A 23,662-nucleotide genomic window follows, 5' to 3' on the forward strand; every position below is an offset into this window, starting at 1 on the left:
AATCTGTAATGTAACTCAGCATTGTACTCCTAAGTTAAAATCAACATGATATTTTTATACATTGCTGGAATCAGTATGCTAATATCTTGTTTAGAATCTTTGAATCAATTTTTTAATGAATTTGGTCTATAATATTATTTCCTTCTAATCTCAAATAATTTTAGTTATCAAATTATTAGAGCCTCATAAAATTATTTGAAAGTTTTCTTTTTATTTCTTTTTAAAAATTTTTCTTGAAGAGTTTGTGTAAATTTTAACAATCCATTAACATTAGACAGAACTGTCATATAAGAACATCTGAGCTTTAAATCATATTTTTGGAAAGATATTTTAATCAATGACTCCATATCTTTAGTTACATAGGATCGTTCTGATTTTTTACTTCTTTTTGAGACTGTTAAAGAAATTATTTTTAGCAATTTTTCCATTCCATTTCAATTTCCCAATTTATTGATTGTTATTAAGGACAACCTCTTCATATCTGCTTTAATCTCTGCAGCACGTAGAATTCTGTCTCTATTTCATTTCTAATTTTCTACTTTCACAAGATGCCACAGATAAACATTAGACTAACATCCTCAGAAGTTTGTCCAATCTCATTTTTCTATTTTTAATATTAAAAGTAGCTTTTAGATTTCTCCTTTTCCACTGTATGTTCATTTCTGTTTTAATTTTTGACTTAAGCTAGTCAATGGGTTTACCATTTTTCCTAATGATATAAGGCTGTTTTACTATATTTTAACACCATTGCTCTCCTTCCGTCTTCAGTGTTGTTGTCTTAACACTTCAGCTCTAGCCTGCTTCATCCCACAGATTAGACATTTTAAAATATATAGTTAATATTTATTAAAGTTTGCTCATTTATTTGCCAATATATTGTATTTGCCTAATATCTTTTCCTTATAACAGATTTCCATATGGCTTCCTTTTGCCAGAAGTTTATGTTTTAGGAGTGTCATAATATATGTCAGTATAGGGCAGTGAATGCTGCAGTAAGAAACATTCCCACAATTTCTAGGTTTCAATATAACAAAAGTTTACATTCCTGTAAATAAGGCTGTGGGTCCAGGTGACTCTCCTGTGCACAAGTTTTCCATGTGTTGGCACAGCACTTCAGACTAATTTAAAAGCACTTGCATATTAACATACACATCTATGATTATCAAGTCTGTGAACAAGAAAGGTGGATTTTTAGATATCAGCATTTAAGTGTTTTCATTTAAAAGTGATGTGTGTCATTAACATTTATTTATCCAATAACATAATCAACTTTAAGGGGGTAAAAAAATACAAGTTTCTATTCTTTCTGTAACAATAAGAAAATAAGATTTTGGTGTTCAATGCAAACATTTATGTCAAATGGTGAAAGTCATTTTGTGACAAACTCTCATCTGTTTTTTGTCAAAAGATCTTTTTATATTTTTCTACATAAACATAAAATGACAGTTGTTCTATCCTAAGACACTAAGAGTATTACTATGATTCTGTCTTCTGGCATTCATTGTTGCTGCTGAGAAATCAACAGTCAGTGTGTTTGCTGTTGTTTTACAGGTGATCTTTTTTTATTTTAAGGTGTTTTGACATTGCTTTTTCTTTGGTTTGCTTCAAATTCAGTATGATGTATATTTGTGCGTATCTTTTTATTTTTAATCCTGGTTGCATTCATAGGAATTCCTGTTTCAGAATGAGAATTTTAAAATAAACCTGGAAAACTGAGTCATTTCTTTCTTTGAATATTGCCTATTTCCCACGTCCCTGTACTTTCTAATATGTCCTAATATGTCCTTATGGAATTATACTTTATACATTTTAGACATTTACACTCTATTCTTTAAATTTCTTCACTTTCTTCCTTAAATTCTGTCTCTTGGTTTCTCTGGCTAGCATTCCATTTAATTTTTTTTAGGCAGAGTCTCGCTCTGTCACCCAAGTTGGTGTGCAGTGGTGTGATCTCAGCTCACTGCAACTTTCACCTCCAGGGTTCAAGCGATTCTCATGCCACAGCCTCTCAAGAAGCTGGGATTACAGGCATGAGCCACCACGACTGGCTAACTTTTGTATTTTTAGTAGAGATGGGGTTTTGCCATGTTGGCCAGGCTGGTCTCAGACTCCTGGCCTCAAGCGATCCACCCATCTCAGCCTCTCAAAGTGCTGGGATTACAGGCATGAGCCACCACATCCAGCCACATTCCATATAATTTTGTAATATCCATCTTCCAATTTGTTAATCCCCTCTTTAGTTATATCTAACACATATTTTCTTTTTTTTTTCAGTTGTAAGCTTTTTAATTTTAATTATTCTAATCTTCACACTTGGAAGTTCTATGGAGTGGAATTTTCATTCAAAATTGCTTACTGTTTGCTCATATTCAAGGTTCACTCTCATTTCTTTAAACTTATGTCTGATAATTCTTCTACAAAAAGTTTTTGTAAAGTTTATTTTTCTTGTCTGTTGTTTTCACTGATTATTATTCATGTCTAAGTGTTTTGTTATATGAGACTGGATTTTTCAGTCTTGTAATTTTTACCTCAAAGATATTCATATACAGAGTTATTTTTGAGGCCTAGGTTGAAGTTGTATTTCTTCAGAGATTTATGAGGTTTTTGTTTTTGTTTTGTTTTGTGAGTTTCTTGCAGATTTCACCTATTTGGGACAACAGTAAATTTAAATAACGCCTCTAGATTTTTAAAATAAAAGTGACATGTGGATATGTGGCTATGATATAGTTTCAATGTTTGTCCCCTCCAAATCTCACATTGATATTTAATCCCCAATGTTGGAGGCAAGGCCCCAGTGGGAGGTATTTTGGTCGTGGGGGCAGGGCTTTCATGAAGGGCTTGGTACCTTCCTCTTGGCAATGAGTGAGTTATTATTGCATTAGTTATCAGGATAACTGATTGTTCAAAAGAGCCTGGCACCTCCTTCCTCTCTCTTGCTTTCTTCCTCTTTCCATGTGATGATTGCTCCCCTTTGACTTCTGCCATGAGTGAAAGCAATCTGAGGCCCTTACCAGAGACAGGTATCAGGGCGAGGCTTCTTGTACAGCCTGCAGAATCATGAGCCAAATAAACTTTTTTTCTTTCTTTATAAATTACCCAATTTCAGGGATTCCTTTATAGAAACTCAAAATGGACTAAGAGGCTGCAGACTTATTTTGGGTAAGTTGAGGTTATAGGTTTTCCGAGGAGAATTTTTCCATAAAATCAGAGCTAAACGAGGCAGGAAATATTCCTTGCATCTACTTCTGAGACATGGGATGTATCTCTTGTTCATTCTTATACTACAGGTATGGCCCTTCGTGGGGGTCTTTGTTTAATGTGAAGGGATCTCCTCTAGTTTTAAAGATCCCTGGACTTTGTCTTCTCTTTGCATCTTTCATAGTCATCAAAATGGGCATTCAAAGACTCAAGAGTATACTAGATACTCTGAGAGAAAAATCATTTTTATAGTTTCTTACCTATTAGTGGTTCTCATTTCAATTAATTTTACAGCTCAGAACTTACATTTTTCCTCAGTAAATTAAAATGATGCCTTTTGAAACATACTTTGGAAATTGTATCCAGCATCTTAGTTGTTTAAGTCCAAAGTGGTTTTCTGGGTATCTAACATATTATACCTCAAAAGGAAAAATCTCCCTCAGGTTTAATTTTTTTTTAACTTCTCAAGATAAATACTTAGTTTGATAGCATTCTTTCATTTTTTCATAATAAAAGACTATTAAAATTATAAATTTGCCTCTGAGTACAGCTTTCCTTCACTCTGGGTTGTTTTGATATTCAGTGAATTTGCTTTTCCTATTTTTAAACTACCCCCACCAAAAGTTACTTAGGATTTTTTTTTTTTTTTAATTTTCAGGGGTTTGGGATCTTATTTTTGTGTTTTGAGGATTTAAACTTTTATTATTAAATTTGAGTAAGAAATTATGACTCTTACAATTTCTGCTTTGGAAGATGTATTGAGTTCTTTGTGGTTTGGTAGATAAACAATGTAAAAATTCTGTAGATGAACAATGTTTACTGTCTGAGGATACAAGATTTAAAATGCGGGGCTGAGTGCAGTGGCTCACGCCTGTAATCCCAGTACTTTGGGATGCCCAGGCGGGCAGATCACGAGGTCAGGAGATCGAGACAATCCTGGCTAACACGGTGAAACCCTGTCTCTACTAAAAATACAAAAAATTAGCCGGGCGTGGTGGTGGGCGCCTGTAGTCCCAGCTACTGGGGAGGCTGAGGTAGGAGAATGACGTGAACCCGGGAGGGCGGAGCTTGCAGTGAGCCCAGATCGCGCCACTGCACTCCAGCCTGAGTGACACAGCAAGACTCCATCTCAAAAAAAAATTATAACGCATATTAATTAAATATTACTAATATTATTAAAATTATTTTATCATTCTTTTCCTACGTAATCTTGCAAAGGATGAGGGTTTTTAATTAAAACTTTCTTTAAGCGTTTGTACATTTGTATATATTTTTAACGTCTTTCTAAGAAGACTTTATATAAACACATACAACACATACTAACGTATGTTTGTGTGTATGTATGTATCTATTTTTGTGTGCGTGTGTGTGTGTGCGTGCGTGCACATTCTATATTATTTCATCTATAAATGTTTACTGGTATGGATTGTTAGGGAAGAAACTTCAGTTTCCCTGACCTCATAATTCTATATGTAGAGTCTCTTTCGAGAATAATCTCCCTGCCCTGTGTGGCCATTCCAATGAGAGGAAGATGAAGTATCAGAATGTTAAATTGGAAGAGGAAATTAGGAATGCTGCTTGGTGCTTTCCTTGTTTAGAACCATCCTTCTCAGGAGGTACCTACATTGATTCCTCTCCATTCTCCCGGTAATATGGTTGGCTTTCAATTTGTCATATTCCTGCTTCTATCTTTCAGTTGGTTATAAACTCATGAGGGAAGATTACTAGGCTTTGTACTGTGTTCTCTCAAACTTCACAATTTAAAAAAATATCTTTTAACCTGTTTTCATTTATTTTGAATTGCTTCAATACATCTTTATTAATTCTTTAAGGTATTTTTTCTTCATTTTGCTTTAGGTTTGTCTTACACAAGCAATATATCATTGTTTATTATATCGGTATATAATAAATACCAATGTATTAAAGCACAAACCCAGTAATTTTTCCCTTTAGTGTTCAATTAATCATGTTAGTCTGTTACATTACTGATGTTTTCATTTACTTTTCGCTTTTTGTGCGTGTTTCAATTTTTATACTTCATGGATTTCTCTTCCCATTTGGCTACAAGTAAAAAGACTTCTGTTTATGTTTCCTGCATTCATTTACAATAGGGTTTACTTTTAGCATTTAGTGATATTATTCATGTTTCCTGGATTATCAAATTCAATAATTAATTGACATTACTTTTTTTTTTTTTTTTGAGATGGAGTTTCACTCTTTTTGCCCAGGCTGGAGTGCAATGGCATGATCTTGGCTCACTGCAAACTCCGCCTCCTGGGTTCAAGCGATTCGCCTGCCTTAGCCGTCCCAGTAGCTGGGATTACAGGCATGCACCACCACACCTGGCTACTTTTGTATTTTTAGTAAAGATGGGGTTTCACCATATTGGCCAGCCTGCTCTTGAACTCCTGACTTTGTTCTCTGTCCGCATTGGCTTTCCAAAGTGCTGGGATTACAGGCATGAGCCACCGCAGGCCGAGGTTACTTTTCTTTAGCAAATGAAAGATAACATAGAGCGTGCTTTCATTGCCTCTCCACGTGTGTACTCCACTTCCCCCTTCCTCCCCACACCAAATTTATTTTTCTCTCCATTCTTCTATTCACCTAAATCTGTCAATTACTGGTGTTTAAAAAAGTATAATCTTGGATTTCATATCCAGATCATTGGTATTCAATTTCTAAATTTATATTATATAAACGTGAATTAAATACTTTTTTGAAGAAACTTATGAAATCTTGTTTATGCCAATTTTTTGGCATCGCGACGGAGCTTAGCTGGTTTCAAAAACTATTGTCAGAAAAGTTTATGTCAGAGGTTAATGGCCAGATGCTATTTTAAATCCAGTTGTGTTTCTGAGCAAAATCATAGGTAGCCTCAAAGGCATGAGACTCATAGACTTTTTTTTTTCACTATGACTCACAAAATTTGCAAACAGAAATTTGGTAGGCTATACTTCATATAGGAGGAAAGAAAAATCCATTATCTCTCTACTCTTCTCAGGAAGCTTTTTATCATTGCTTTCAGGCAAAAATTTTGAAGTAAGATGTGATGCAAAATTTTTTATTGAATTCAGTATATTTGGCCCTATATTCTTGACTGTAGTAGTCAGAGGAGGCTGAACTTTGGGAACAAATAGACTCAAACATACAATGAGGCAACAAAAAAAGTTTGGTTCCCACTCACCTAAAAGCCCATAATAATTTAGTTCAGTGAAAGGTGGGGAGTGAAAGGGGGTAGGGGTAGGGATATTCTGCTGCACAGAATCATTCAGGGGCTCACACAAGGGCAGCTTTGTTATCTTCAACATGTAGCTTTCAAGGTCATCCTGAAAGCTAATGGGTTAGTATTCCCATTAACTAGAAAGGAAAATAAGCATAGCAGAGCATGCGTGGGAAGTTTTATAGGCCTTGCCTGGAAGTGGCCCATGTCACTTCTGCTTACATTTCTTGCACTAGAACTCAGTCACAGGGCCAAAGCTAACCCCAAACCAGGCTAGACAATGTAGTCCAAGCAGTAGGCGCAGGAAGAAGATGAAAACAGTATTCGATAAATTACCTTTACCCCATTGAATAATCTAGAAAATTCTATCAGGACACTGAACTATTAGTCAGAATTACACAACTTGACTCCTAAAGAATTCACAAATCATCAGCTGTTCTCAGTACAGAACAATTCATGAGAGACTGCATCCTCAAGTGAATTACATGGAGCTTCAAAGTCCTTTTGACATCCACAGGGAAAAACAGAAGGGTTTGCAAACCCAATATGCTCACAAAGATGAAACAGCATTAACAAATGTAGCATTTCTGAACTTCAGCTAATTACTGATATACTTCCCTCCATCCTATTATGTAAATGTACACTAGCTGGTTATACTAAATGAGGAAAACACTCTCAACATCTGTTCTAGGATACAGAACACTTATTTGTTTAGACTAGGTCAAAGTATGATTTATTGCAGAAAAATTAATATGCATTAGGCTACGATGTCTCATATTACTTAAAAATGTATATGTTTTATCTAAATTGCTAACTTAAACCTTTAAACAACTGGGGAGGAGGCTTAAGATATTTTGTCTTTATAATTGCCACCAAACTGCTTTTAAGTTATCGGTAGACTGAATATATATGCTTCTCAAGGCATTAAGAGTAGAGTAGTGAATCTTATAAACATGGAACACACCCACAGTGCCCTAAATAAAATTTTGTTATCTTTCATTTTATCTATGAAATACATAAGTGTTTAATGCCCCTGGCACAGTGGGCATTTTGTTTTGTTTTTATTTGTTTGTTTTTTGCACTGCTGTTAGCTTTTCTGTGTAGCAGCAAGCAGGCTGACTGCATGATGCTGGGATTTCATTATATTCACTATTAAACAAAAGCTCTTATTTCACACAGTATGTGAACAAACCTATTCTGAGTGCAGCATCGTTCTAAAGGATTATTTATTGTAATTGTTTTCTCTATTCACTGGGAATCCTAACTTCCGTGGTTCTGCACTTTATTTCAGTGTCAGCCATTCTGACAGCTAGCACCTGCGCACATTCTGGTTATTGAAATAGTTTCTTTTCATACACAGTGATCCTCTCTTCTCATCCTGCAGAGTTTACTATCTTTCTAAAAGTCTCCCTAGTTTACACAGTTTGTTGAGAATAATTAGGATCCTTTTTCAATTTACGTGAAAGCAGGCTAGTATAGTGAAAGCAGCCTCAGACCTAGAATTAGGATTTTAAAGTTTCATTCTTAGCCCTTCCATGAATTCCATGAATTAATTTCCAAAGCTACCTAAATTCAAATACATACATCTATAAGATGAAGAAATTTGGCAATTTTATGAACATTTTTCAACTGTAGAATTGTAGGTGTGCATATTTTATATTTATTTATTTATTCTATCAACATACATTGATTATCAGTTACTGTGCTAGGTACTGGGAATAATAATATGCACTAAGCTATCTCATGTCTTAACTCAGTTAATCCTCATGCTCTCACTTTATATTGAAGAAATTGGCATACACAAAGTTTAATGACTTGACCAAGTCTGCATGGTCGTAAGTGACCCAGGTTGAATTTAAAGCCAGGGTGCCCAGCTACAGAGCCTGACTTCGTAGTCACTGTGTTACATTGCCCGGAAAACAAAGGTGAACTGGAGGAGTTTCCCTTTTCATATATATATATATATATAGATAGATAGATAGATAGATAGATAGATTATATATATATGAGATATATACATAAAAGATATATAAAATATATATATAAGATATATATAAAAGATATATATATAAAAGATATATATATAAAAGATATGTATATATCTTTTTTTTTTTTTGAGACAGAGTCTTGCTCTGTCGCCCCGAGCTGGAGTGCAATGGCACATTCTTGGCTCACTGCAACCTCTCCCTCCCAGGTTCAAGTTTCTCCTGCCTCAGCCTCCCAAGTAGCTGGGATTACAGGTGCACGCCACCATGCCCAACTAATTTTTGTATCTTTAGTAGAGACAGAGTTTCACCATGTTGGCCAGGCTGGTCTCGAACTCCTAACCTGAGGTGATCCACCTTCCTTGGCCTCCCAAGAGTTTCCCTTTTTAAAGAGTTCACAGGCTACAGAGGAAGGTTGACATGTAAACAAAATGCTACTTTCTGATACTATTGATACACAAAATCATTGGCCTTGCAGCAGTCATTCTTGTTGTTTTAAATGTATTATGACAAAGCTCACAACCAATCTTTAAGGTGTTTATAATTGTCTCCAGTTTTTTTATATAGGAAAGCTGAGCCTCTGAGAAATTAGCTAATTTCCCCAGTATCCCATAGTTTATAAGTGACTGAGCTAAGATTAAAACTCACGTCTGATTCCAAATCCCATTTTTGTCATCCTCTGTCACACTCCATTGCATAAACAGAATTTCTCCTTTAAGGTTCTCTGAAATTTACGTCTTTATTACTGTACTTATTCTTCACATGAATTACATTTTAAAGGATGAAAAGTTTGCCCAGATTTGCCAACAATGCGTAATAGAACGAAATTATCATCCTTATTAATTTCTCAAAGAATTCACAAAGCAAAAGTCTGAGATTATCCAGAATCATTTGACTGAAGCCAAACAGTGGCTTTATACCTTTGCTCCCTGCCTGTTAGGAGGTGAATTCATGCAGTCTCTATAAAACTTAAATAACTATCAGAAAAACATCAGAATGTCAGGAGTAGGTGGTACCAGAGAGTGATTCCCTCATTTTCTAAATGGGGAGATTGAGACCTAGATTTAAGTCTTTTGCCCAAAGTTGTATAATTAGTTAAGTGACTGAATTAAAAACAGAATTCGGATCTTCTGCCTTTCTCTTCTGTTTTATTTTCATTATCCTGTAATATCTAAACCCAAAATTTTATCACCTAGTAAATTTTGAAAAAGCAGTTATGCTCATTGATTTATAGGTAAATATAGACTGAATAATTCAGTATATTTGGTGAGTGATTATTTGGCAATCCATATATTTAAAATGTTTCCAAGGTGACTGAATAAAATTCATTATTAATCTTCATTATACAGATGTCTTTCAAAAGTTGGTTTAGTATCACTATACATCTGAGTAGAAATAAGAGGAAAGAGAGGAGAGGAAACGAATAATATGGCAGTCACAAATAAATTAACATTAAATAAATTTAATATAATAAATATAATTAAATAAATGTAATGTAAATTAATTAACATTAAATAAATGTAAGTAAAATAACAGTAAATATCATTAACAGATATTTAACGTTATTTTAACATTTATCATTTAACAGATAGAGAGAATAGATAAATAAGAAAGAAATGAGTGAAGACAAGCTAGCAAGCTTGAATGTACCAAGGATGTTTCCCCACAATTTGGATGCTTTTGTCCCAAATTTATCTGCCATAATTCTTGTACATACTGCTATTATTTATACTATTTCTACCATACTCTGCCCCTAATCATTCCACTTCTCTCCCTTCACACACATATACACATACACAAAACACACAAACGTGCATTGTCAGACATAAGCATATTTGGCAATTCCTCTGAAGTTTAATAATGATGCTATGGCGAAGACCCAAGGGGATTAATTCAGTATTGTTCATTCTATAAATGGCTCTCACATATTGGCTTAAAAGAATTCAATCCATAAATTATCTTGCTTCACGTACTGAAGCAAAACTTTTTTTTCTAGAAGCACTAGGAAACATGCTGAAAAAGCTGGATTTAGATAAATACACGTTATAAACTATATGTTTGTACTGACTAAAGTAATGTTTGAAACTTCTACATCATTTTGAAGAGTATATTTAGCAAAAGGCACCCTGCGATGATTTTCAGGGTTTGGTCCTTTGGCTGCTTATTAGAACATGAATCTAGAGGAATACACCATCACAAATGCACACATATAAGTTATATAACACACACACACACACACACACACACACACACACATATATATATAGAGGGAGACAGAGAGAGAGAGAGAGAGAGAGAGAGAGAGAGAGAGAGAGAGAGAGATTGAGATTTGCCGTTGTTTGTTCTTTCCTGACTTTGACTTTATCACTTTTCTTCCGTTTGGCGTGGAGTCATTTTCAACCCAGAGTATTTTACCCTGTTAGAAATTGCTTTCTTACTGCTAGCTCATAGTCAAACTCTATTATTCCTATTACTTCATGTATATTTTTTGAAGTGATGATTGCCAACCTAAAAACAACTACAAACAAAATAAACACAGGCTCCCATCTAGCAAACATTTTGCTCCTGTGTTAAAGGAAAGAAATTGTTTTATTTTTCACTTTTAGGAAAAGGAGAAATAATAAAAATATGCATATTTCATTACTACAGAAGCATGTTGATGTTCCGTAAACAAAAGGCAAAAGATCACTCATAGACCCTTAACACTAAATCCTCTTAACAAAGATAAGTGCATGGGAGAATACACTTCAGTTAAACTGGATATCAGACTCATTAAGTAAAAATAGTCTTGGCACACTAGTCATTAATTGAACTGTATGTCTAATATTTAAAACAAAGGTCCAATTATGTCTCCCTCAATAGAAAAATTCATGTATTCTTTAACTGCATGTTTAATAACAGTATTACTTCAACTGAGGGATTATAGAAATCACAGAATTAAATGTTAACTTTTTACACCATGAAAGTCCCAAGGTGAATAAAAAAGGTTTAATTCTTAGTTTTTTTTCAATTTTGTTGTATTAAGAAAAGAAGTATTTTACTTATTTTTTGGGTGATTATTGATGTTTCTAATATTTAATGTTCAGTTCTTTTAGGAAGTTTCCTTCATATTTCTTAGCTCCTCATATCTCTTTTGGTTGGCATTGTTCTCACTATTATCGTTTTAATCTCTTCTCTTACTCTTGCCATGAAAAAAACAGAAATCTTCCAAGTATTCTTTGTGAATGTAAACTATAAAAGTATTTAAATTCATTTGATTAATATTCAGATAACCTCTGAGCAGTTCTAGCATCTCAAATTTATTCTTTTTTCATTATGAAACACTGGATCTAAGTATGCCTATGGAAATTCACTAACTCTCACCTCATCCGGTCCTGCTTCACTCCACAATGCTTAACCTTCTTTTCTGTTTTGTGTCTTGATCTGACCCAGCCCTTTGTACCCTGACTAAACAAACAACATTCTGTCCCATAACTCTTATGAAGCTAAGCAAATGATGTTTCTTCTGACTGGAAGATCTTTCTTTCTTTTTTTTTTTTTAATTTTAGAAATCTGTTGAATTCAATTTAATCCTTTAAACTCCATCAGGGCTAAGGCCTATTAGAAGCTTTCAGTGAAACCCCAAGGTTGAGTTTGGTGTATATCTTATATCCTTGCACAGCACCTTACGATTGGTTTATCAAAGCACTTGTCACACTGTATTAAAACTATGGGTTTCTTTTATTTTTCTCCTTTCCTGGATAATGAGTTTGAAAAACAGTAGCCCAGGCTGTAGCACCTTGATTCTCTTATAGTAAGCAGTAAGTAAATAACTAAGTGAATATATAAATGTAGATGTACCAAAGTGTATCATCATTGGAGATGTTATAGGAACTAATACTTTATTTAAAAGACAACTCTATGCCTTTTTCTCCCCTGAGTTGTTCCAAATAAGTGTTAATTAGCTTAAAAAAAAACATAAAATACAGAAGAGTATCCTAAATTACAAGCAGATATGAAAGATGAAGTAAATGAAAAGTAAAGTTAGGGGCATAAAATGGATCCAGAAATAAAACACTAAGGTGATGACTATGAATTCAAATAACTCTGTTTTCTTCTAGTCCCATGATAGTGCCTTTGCCCTACTCAAACTTTGAACACCGAGATTTTCCCTTTATTCAAGGTGATGGCCATTTGTGATCTGCAATTTCTTCTAGTCTTAAGTTTGACATATTGCCTAAATTGCCCAAGGCTTTGGAGAAAACTTTAGGAATAGCTTTAAAAAACTGGTCATTTCCCTAGAAGCCTCCTCCTCTTACTCCCCAGTGGCTTCTCATTTCAAGCTTCCGTATAATTGTACTAAGTTATACTAATTGGAACATTCAATTCCACATGTTTGGAGCTAGTTATATTGGAAGATAACGTGCATATTTGCATAAATGAATACGTAGCAGATGCAAAATAATGCACAAATATGTGCCTGTAACTTATTGGATAAAAAACTTACTTCACAGCACACCCAAAAATGACTTTCCTATTTATTTGATCATAGGAAGAATTAATCAATTCTATTTTACTAAAAACGTGTGTACAAAATAATTTCTGATACCAAATAAAATGGTCAATATTTAGATCTGACTTTCATGAGTAAAAATTGAAATAATGTCTAGAGCTCTTTTCACCTTAGTCTGGTTGGCTCTTTGTTTTTTTCCAATTAGCAGCTCTTTTTACTCACATCTGTTTTGTTCTTCAAAATCAGGGCAATTATTAAATGTTTTAATATCTCTGCATCTCAATTTTCTTATCTATAAAAAATGGAATTAGTGCTGCTTCTCTCTGAGTAAAAACAGTATGCAAATTTCAGGTTATCTTTATTGAATCCACCTGGATATTTGGGGAGAAAAAAACAGTATTAGAAGTATATTAGTCAAGACACCATCTACTAATTTTCCTGGGAGAAAAAAAATTAATTGTGAGGCAAACCTAATATCTTTTCTCTATTTTGCCTAGTAGAATGATTCACCTGGAGGACTCTAAACTGTTTAACCCTTTATTTATTCAACAACTATTTTTGGACACCTTTTTATGGACCAGGTACTATTCTAAGTAACAGGAACACATCAGTACATCAGTGTACAAAGGACAGCAAAATCCGTTTCCACATAGAGCTGACATTCTGGAGTCAGTTCACTTACATTCACATATATGTATATATTTATAACATTTATACATTTACAAATATATATAAATAGGGTATTATTGCCCTGAATTTACAGAAGTGAAAACTGAGAGTCAGAGAAGTAAAGTACCTCACCCAAGGTTTCAAAGGCCCAGTAAATTATGGACCAGTAAGTTATCTGCTAATACTTATAGTAAATTATATCTGACCACAAGGCCCACATTTCCAAAACTGGCACTCTTAACTGGAAGAATACATACAAATGGAGTGGAGAACAGATGGCCTCTGTCACAAGATTAGGGAACCCCATTCATTTTACTATTATTAGTAACCTTCATATTAAAGGGGTAGGTCTTCCACTCCTTGCTGATTTCTTATCCCTGGGATTCTACTTTCTTACACAAATCTATATTACTTGATTCATCACACTTTCTAAATTTTTCAAATTCTATATTTGATTTCTAATAAATCAGCTTTTTGATTTTCACTGTGATCTTCCCTTTTCTAACCAGATTTTTCCTGCGTCCTGTTTTTTTGTTTTGTTTTTCAATTCACTTGAATCCATGGGCTTTCTGAGACTCATTCATTCTTTCATTTTGTAATTTACAATAACAACTATGAACCTAGTGTCCACAAGGCTTCTGCTAAGAACAGAACATGAATGCAAATAAAATGGGGAATCTGTCCAAGTCTACATTCACTAGCTCCCTTTGGCTTAATCAAATGTGTCAATTTTTTTTTCTCGTGTGTGTGTGTGTGTGTTTGTGTGTGTCACAAGGTTTAATTATGATAATTTTCATGACCCCTTTTCATTATTTTAATTTTTTAAAAAGTGGACAAGAAATACACGCATACACAAACACATAAGGAAAAAGTTACGAATAAGGACTTGGAGAATAAACACCTAATATCCCCCTACTTAGAAATAACCCATTGCATTAATGCTTAAAAATTTCTTTCTATCTATAGTAAGGCTTTCTGTGAATAACTCAAAATGAACTGATTTATTCAACCAACCAACTAGCTCTATCTGTATAGTCAATTATATAGTCAATTATATCAATTACCTCAACAAAGTGCTAGGTAATTAAATTGAATAGAAATCCACAGTGACAGGTATGATGTTATTTATTGTATATGTATATTTTCTATATATAGTGAACGTGGAAGGTGTATTAGAGAAATAATAAAACATTAAACATTTCTAAATTTCAGGGAACCTAAATCTTCTCAAATTGACTTACCACATAACTGAATCTACCGGAGCTTATGAAAATGTATTATATTTCATCTTGAACCCCATTTGGGGAAAGGGGCAAAGTTTCTCTTCAAATTATAACTCATGAAGCTACTGTAATTCTATGCGCACAATCAATATTGATTAATAAAGATGAAAGGAAGGGCTGTCTTGAACCTGGCATGATACTGTCTTTAGGGAATCTTCAGGTTATCAGGGGATGTGCAAGTCCATGCTGGTAACGTAGACCACTGTACTCAATTTTGGGCTTTGACAAACTAAACTTTGTTCAGTAGGCTTTGGCTAATTTCCTCTGGAAAATCAGCTCAGCAAAATCTAGAAGTAGCTCTCAATTTTTGACTTTAAAGGGCCAAGTTCACAAAATTAACACTTTGCAAACCTTTTATAACAAGAAACTTTTTCAGACATACTCACAATCACATCCCTTCACACCTGAGATATCAGTTATATATGTGTGGCATCAGTATTAAACACAATTAGTACTAAACAAAACCAGTATTAAACAGTTTTTCATGGAACATTTGGAAAAGGGTGAATTATCAAAGGTATGACTCAGGGAGAAGCAAATGGCAAAACTGATTGTTTAAATCATTTGAAAATCCTGTTGGGTCTATTTTCTTAATATGAGACAAGTTAATATTATGTCTGCAGCAATATGTCGACTTATAACTGTACTTATCTACCTGAAATTTATTGTTAAAAAAGGTAGCCTCTGTCATGATTTAAAAAGCACTTCCCTACTGTTTTAAAATTTTCTCCCTTTTTCCTACTGTTTTCCCTCTTAAGTTAAAGTGATTAACAAAGTCTTATTCTCTACCTATTCTAGAGTGTCTGACACCCTGACAAAGCCACTAAAACACCTTTGTTAGCCCGACAGAATGTCTTCAGGCTCTACCTCAAATGTTCCAGCTCCCATCTTGTGTTAGAAGAGAATTCTGCATGGGTCTTTCACATTTCTGCACACTTTGTAAGCAGAGACACTGACAGCTTTTGTTCCTATCTTTTCAGTCTTGGAAGAAAGAAGTAGTTCTCCCTATGGAGTAAAGGGCAGATTTGTTTACAATCCAGTTTAATAAAGATAATTTCCCTCTCTATGGCAAAGGGCAGGTTTGTTTGCTGCCATTATATATTTTTTTTAAAAAGAGTTTTCCAAAGCTCAGGATGCTTCAACTATGACATAAACCCACTATGTACAGTTGTCACCTAGCCCTCATCTTATCACCTTGTAGTAACTGGGTCTTAAGGAACTGATGCAAGAAAATGACAACACTCTGACTACTTCTATTGCTATGAGTAATACATTGCCTTTTGTCTTTGTCCACTGTATCCATGAAACTGCTGTAGACTCTTCAGCGTTCCTGGTATCTTTTTTACCCAGTTTCTGTTCTTTTGCTTTATGGATAGACTCTCTTCTATCTATTTAGTTCCCTACTCAAGTTTCTGCCTCCTTAAGTTGACTTTCTCGGTCTAAATTTCCTGCTTGACTAGGGAAAAGAGAATCCGATTAAATAAGTGGCAACAAACTAAAGTCAGAAGAATAAAAAGTGTTAATCCAAAAACAATTGTGGCTTGTATATGGAGTATAGGTCCCATGCAAATCTGTACAGCAGCTGGGTTTTCAATTTCATCCCTATCAGAGACATCGTTTTAAAGACCTCTTGGGTCTTGGAGTTTAAGAGGATTGCTGGGCTGGGTGCCTTGTTTATTTGATAGATTTTACTCTGCTTTTTCATTTCTTAGTGCTCACTGCTAAAAATATTCTTTCCTTAGTAGATATATGTCTCTCTTCCCTCCCCTCCACTTCCCAAGCCCTCAACCCTCCAACAATAAAATCAGTATACACATATTCAGAAAAGCATGGCTAGTGATAAATGATCAGGAATTTTTACTTGTTTGTTACCTCTTATTTCAGAGAGTTCCAGAGGGATGAGCAGTAGCTCTCTGCAATAAGAGTCCTGAGAATCAGTGGGAACCTCTTAAAATTCAGGTTTCCAGGCCATACACTCCCAACCCCAAGGATTCTGATTCAGCATGGCTGATGTGGGTACCAGGAGTTTTCCATTTTTAATGAGTTTCTTTGGCAATTTTACTACAATTTGTTTGCAGAACACTCCATGAGAAATCCTGCTCCAAAAACTGCCTCCTGACTTGGTATCATGCACATTTGTGCAGTATAATAGAGACAGTTCAACCCTAAGTATATAGATTAGTCACTGACAAATGTTAGTTGATGACAGTGATTTGCTCTGGTGTACAGCTCAACTGTTAGAAGTGTTTTGAAAGTTATTTTTTGGCCCATGAGACTGAAAGACTCATATTAATATGAAACAACTGCTGATTAGCTTTAACATTTCTGGATATATTTGGAACAATTTCTTCTGATCTGCAGCATAATACCACGTGCACATTATTAGCAAGGACCATATATAGAAAGATAAGTAAGTAGAATTTTAAAAATGAAAACTATAGTTTGTAAATACTTTGGGTAAAATACAATTATCCCAAAGGTATTTTATTGGAAGAAGTTAAACAGTATGAACATTTTTTAGATAAAGACTTAGGGGAGATTTTTGAAAAGTAAAAACGATTGTAGTCATTGCTGTTGAAATCATAAGATATATAATAGGATGTTACTGGAAAATCATCTTATATCAGTGTGGTGGGAGCATTGAGGAAAAGTGTGTAACATACTAGCATTGACGGTTCTGCAGGTATCCAATTTATATTCTAACTTCTTAACAACAATGCTTATGGAAAAATTCTTTCTTCACTTTCTTTTTCCCAAACGAAATAGAAATAAGTCACCCAACTAACAGAAGCATCACACTTCAGCTCTTTTCTTTGAGTACAGATGAGTATACTTCATTTTCATCAGGCTTGATTGGGAGTTACGCACTTAAATTTAGTGTTAGTGCACTTCAGGTAAAGCTCATGAGGAAAACACCAGCATATGGCTACAGTGCTTTTGAGGTAAGGACACCACAGTTTAGAATGCCAGGGATTAGGAGAGTATTAAACACATTTCACTCCATACATCAGACTGAATTATTGTGGGTTTACTTGGGACAATTGTTGTTACATTAACCAATTTAACCAACATTTCAACATCTACACGTCTTCAGTGTTAGTAGGTGATTTTTACCAATAGACAACCTCTTAAAAACAGCAACATAAATTTCAGTCAGAATTTTTCAAGGTGTTTTATCTTTTCTCAGAACTTATCTTGATAAAAGGTGATGACACTTACAGTTGACAACAACTTTTACTTTCCTCACATCTGGGAATGACACATCATTTTCCGCACTGCATTCATATTCCCCAGCCTGGTCCCTTGTAATTCCATAAATGTCCAAATATTGTCCATTTTCAAATGGTTTTGCTATAAAAAAGAATACAGCATGTTTAATTGTAGCCGCCTGAGGCTTCATTCAAGTAAAACAACAATTTCATGACTTCCTACAAGATACTGCTGACAAAACAATTCCAAATGAAACTGGGGAATTATTAAACCTTTTGTTCTTCTATGTTCAGAGGAAAACTCAGAGAAAAAGCAGAAGCAGAACGAGGTATATTATAACAACTATTTCCCCAGAACAGGATATACATGTGTTCTTTTTAATTGATTGTGGTCTCCTAACCTCTTCACACATCAAATAGACTCTGCACATTTCTGTAATTGAGTTCAACAACCTCTGAGCAGTGTAGATGAAATTCACTAATATGACTTGGTACATATTGACTTCTCTACTGTGTGAGCTAGAAACTTGACACTTAACCTAACTAAATGTTACTTTTCTTTTGGGGGAAATCTCCTACCCTTATTCAAGGATTCAAGTCAGATGTCTTGAAAAAAGTATATATATTTAACCATTGCTATATTTTGGTTTCCAAAAGTATTAATGCTGCCAAGAAAGGTACAGTGTACATGCTATATATAACTCACGCAATAAATCTTGGAAAAAATCATTATGACTCTCTAAGGGTTAAGTTTTCATAAAAGCAAACTAAATTATCTTTATTTTTAAATATGCATGGGAAAACATTCTATGTGACAAAAAATAGCAGCAGAATAGAAATATAAAGATGTAATAACAGAAGAAAGACTGCCCCCAAATGAATGAGATTTGAGAAAATAAAGGCTCCTTCTTTTAATAATGGAATTTTTGTTTATTTGAAAGCATTGAGTCATTGAGCAGGATCCTAATTATCAGAAGTGTGGCAAAGGTAGAATAAGCCTTTGTGAATTTCAAGAGAGGAGACCCTTCTACCTCCTTGCACAGGCCTTGAAAAAAATCACATTCCAGTGCATATCAAAGGGAATTATGGAATGAAGCAATGCTTCCATTAAATTGTTTGTTTTCAAAAGTCAATATTATTTCTATCTTCCCCTTTCTATCTTGTCAAAACCACTGTAATGATATAGAAGTTGGAGAACTAGTAAGAATGTTCCATTTTAATGAAACAAACAAAATAAATTTTAGTTATGGCCCTCCAAATCTAAAGTCCATCCCAATAATTTTCCCCCAGTGTTCCCCCATGCACTTCTGTGTCTGGGCCTTTATTAACTGTGGCATGGTCTGCCCTCCAGATAACTATGAGTTTGCTAATTGAAACCTTTAGTGTTTAGAATATATATGATTAAGTCGTATTTCCATTTATCTATCTAATCCTTGTACAGAAGGGAAATGTAAAACTTCTGAAGTGGTAGTTGGCTCTTTTAGTCTTATTTTCACTATTATAACGAAGATACTCTAGGCTTAAATGTGTCTGTAAAACCTACTGAAATATATATTAAAAAAACAAAACACTTCACTTCCAAGAATTTTTAAAATATAACTTAAATTATAAAGAGTAAGGATGGTATTAAATATAAATTAAAGTATGAGGAACATTAATATACTACATCAGGTACTGATGTGAAGACATGAGATTTGGAGGGGTCAGGGGCAGAATAATATGGTATGGCTGTGCCCCAACCCGACTCTCAACTTGAATTGTATCTCCCAGAATTCTCACTTGTTGTGGGAGGGACCTAGCGGGTAATTAAATCATGGGGGCTGGTCTTTCCATGCTAGTCTCATAATAGTGAATAAGTCTCATGAGATCTGATGGGTTTATCAGGGGTTTCTGCTTTTGCTTCCTCCTCTTTTTTCTCTTCCCGCCATCATTTCACCTCCCACCATTTTTCTGAGGCATCCTCAGCCATGTGGAACTGTATGTCCGATTAAACCTCTTTTTCCTCTCAGTCTCAGGTATGTCTTTATCAGCAGTGCGAAAGCGAACTAATACAACAACATAATAGAAAATTCAGAAAATTTGACATTTCGTTAGAGAAGGTAGATCAATTTATTTGTTTAGCCAATGATTGATCATGTCATAAATAAAAATATTTACCTTTTTAAATTTTTATTATTATGTGTAAGGAACCATATGCTTTCTTAAATTCTACAGTTAACCTTAAACTTATGAGGTAAATTCCATTACATAGAATAAGATTATGATAGTTAAAGAGATTAAATATCTTGCTAAAGAGCCCAGTGACACATATGAAACCCAGAACTAACTTAAAAACCTACATGCCTTATTTGTATACAACTGACAGACTACATTAATTCTCTCATTTGTGAATGGTTACTTAGCTCACTAAACTAAATTAAAACATGTATGTGTCATTCTTAGAACTATACAGCACTATATAAATGTTAATTTAATATCTGAAAGATGCTATTTGTACTTATATCAGTTGTCTATGGCTGCCATAACAAATTACCACAAATTTACTGCTTAAAACCAGTAAATTAACCACATGTCAATTTAATATCTGAAAAATTCTATTGGCACTTGTATTAGTATTTTATTGCTGCCATAAGAAAATACCACAACTTTACTGACTTAAAACCATGCAAATTTATTTCCTTATAGTTCTTTAGGTCAGAAATCCAGCAGAAGCCTATGGTAACCAGAATAATAGGTCCCCCAAAGTTATTCACATCCTATTCACTAAAGTGATTAGCTTATATGACAATAGGAACATTGCAGATGTGAATAATGTTAAGGACCTTGAGATAAGGAGAGTTCTGGGAGGGACAATACTAATTGCATGAATTCGTAAAAGTAGAAGAGGTAGATAGAAGAGTGAGTCAAAGAGATGAAAAATGATAAAGGCTCTACTAAACATTGTTGATTTTGAATATGGAGGAAGTAGAGCATGAGCCAAGAAAAGCTGTGGCCTCTGGAAACTAAAATGTCCCTCAGCTGACAAAAAAAATTAATTATCCTTTATAACCTCCAAAAAGGGACACAGCCTATCAACACCTTGCTTTGAGTCTGATGAGACCAGTGCTGAGCTTCTGACATACAGAATTGAAGGATAATAAATTTTTGCTCTTTTTAGCCACTAAGTTTGTGGTAATTGGTTATAGCAACAGTATAAAATTAACACAGTGTCTCACTGGATTAAAATCAATGTGTCAGAGGTTCAGGATTCTTTTCTGGAGATCTGTTTCTTTGTTTTTCAGGTTGTAGGGAGAATTAAGTTTCCTGATGTTGCAGCAGTGAAGTCTTCATTTTCTTGGTGGCTGTTAGCTTACAGCCATTTCCAGCTTTTAGAGGCTACAAGCATTCCCTGACTCATATTCCCCTTTCTCCATTTTCCAAACCAGCAAATGTTGGGTCAAGTCTTTATCCCACTTTGAATCTCTACTGCCTCTACTACAGTCTCAACTCTCTGACCACTCTACTGTTTTCTTCTTTCACTTTTAAGGATTCATGTGATTAAACTGAGCCCACCTGCCTAATCTAAAGTAATTTCCTCATCTCTAGCTCCTAACCTTAATCACATCTGCAAAGTGTCTTTTACCATGTAAGGTAACATGGTCATATATTCCACAGACTAGGGCATGGACATCTTTGGAAGCCATTATTCTGCATGGTTTTCTACCAATTTTCCTTAGATTTTGCAGTTCTACTTGCATATACAAATTTTAATTTAATTATAATATTTTTCAAAGGCAATAGGTAAAGAAAGACACGTGGTATAATTTATAAATTGCTGAAGTTATTAATCTCTCTGAATAATACAAATGAAGTTCAGAAAAATAAATTTAATGAAGACATTCATTTTGAAGAACAAAAATTTCATGACACTATACCACAAATCTATCAAGTAATGTAAGTCTGAGAAGTGTTGTTAGAGCACAGAAATAATGGAGTTTATGGAGCAATAAGAGGGGGTATATGGATAGATGAAATTATGGAAGTCATCTACTGAAATTATTCTAACAGGTTTCAAAAGCAAATAAAAGTAACTAGTAAGAAAAACCTCAAGCTTTTGATTTTTTTGGTTACATATTTGTAATAATCCAGCAGAGAGCACTGAAGGAAAATTTTTAAATCAACTCAAAATCAATTGTTTCTTTTCTTCCTGCCTTCTTACCTACCTTCTTTTCTTCCATTTATACATTCATTCAATGGATATTACTCGTGACAAGATCTCTGACCAGTGAATAAGATTGTTTCCCTTTCAAAGTTTATTGGGAAGTAAAAGTATAAGTGGACAATTTCAATAAAGTATGATAACTACTACATTTGGGGTAAATATAGGGTGTTATGCTGTCATAATATCACTGTCATAACTTAAAGGAAGATTTCTGAACATTTGGTTATGCCAGAACAGTAATTTCATAGGAGTAGGTAGAAGTGACTCTGGAGCTATAAAGAGAAGTTATAGCCTAGAAGGCCTTGTATTCCATGTAAAGAATTTGGATTATAAATTGAGGAATTATTAGAATAATGTAAGTTAAAAAGTATTAGAATATTTTAAAGAATCACATTTCTAAATATTACATATTTTTAAATATTACATTTTAAAAGATAACTCTGGCATTCAGATCGCTATTATATTTAGGAACAATGGCCAGACTTACCTTCTTGCCATAAACCACTAAAGAATGAGCAAAACTTATTTAAAAAAAAAAAAAAAACACTTTCAGACATTGGACAGTAAGAAGCACAGAACTTTGATCTCTAATGGAAGAGAAGTAAACACAGTGACCCCCACAATTAATATTCATGGCTTTCTATCTCATGCAATTTTCAAGCATCAAGCTCACAGAGGTGGAAACTAGAGCCCAGTGGTCTTGCATTGTCAAGGAAAGAGAGATTGGAATTCAGGTAGACCAAGGGGATGGAAGTAGTGGTGCAGGTTTTAAAGAGAAGGAGCTCATATAGACAAAAAGCTACAGAAATCTACATGTGTTTTCTTGTCGTTGCTGAGTACAAGGCTGTACTTGCATAGGCAAAAAATCCCACAAATCTGAAAAAAAAAACAAACAAACAACTGGGCATTTGTAAGATAGACAATTTCTAGAGCTCAGACAAGGTAAAGAGACATTGATCTTTGATGAACAAGAATATAATCACCAGAGACTGATGGAGATTCCAAAAGGCTAATGCCTTAGTTGTATGGCTGAATAAAAGCCAGAATAAAGACTCTTTTTGGCCTATCCTTTAAAGCTTAATAACAAGGTTTAATGGACCAAAATAATTTGCAGGTGATACAGGAGCCTGTTTAAAAAAAATCCAACACTCTTTAAGGGAACAAAACAAAATCTAAACACTTAACAACATAATGTCCAATATCCAATTTTAAAAATGACTAAACATTTAAAGAAACAGAAATCTCTGAACTATAACTAGTGGAAAAACAGTCAATAGAAAGAGACCTAGAAATGAAAAAAAAAAAAGGAAATAAGAGAAAAAAAATTAAATACAGTTGGCTATAACTATGTTGAAGTCTTTACAAAAAATAAATATAATGAAGAAACAAATGGCAGATAGAAAAA

At 34.2% G+C, this 23,662-nt stretch overlaps 1 protein-coding gene across 4 annotated transcripts in view; it reads right to left on the reverse strand.

Moving 5' to 3' along the window:
• NEGR1 (neuronal growth regulator 1) overlaps positions 1-23,662 on the reverse strand; it is an 886,597-nt gene that overhangs the window by 283,999 nt on the left and 578,936 nt on the right. For all 4 annotated transcript variants that reach the window (NM_173808.3, XM_011541200.4, XM_017000961.3 and 1 more), the window contains exon 4: positions 18,067-18,198. In NM_173808.3, the coding sequence (NP_776169.2) occupies positions 18,067-18,198 (132 nt within the window). The remainder of the gene's footprint in view (positions 1-18,066; positions 18,199-23,662) is intronic.

This window comes from Homo sapiens, chromosome 1, assembly GCF_000001405.40.
Source record: "Homo sapiens chromosome 1, GRCh38.p14 Primary Assembly".
In the NCBI taxonomy this organism is placed as follows: Eukaryota; Metazoa; Chordata; class Mammalia; order Primates; family Hominidae; genus Homo; species Homo sapiens.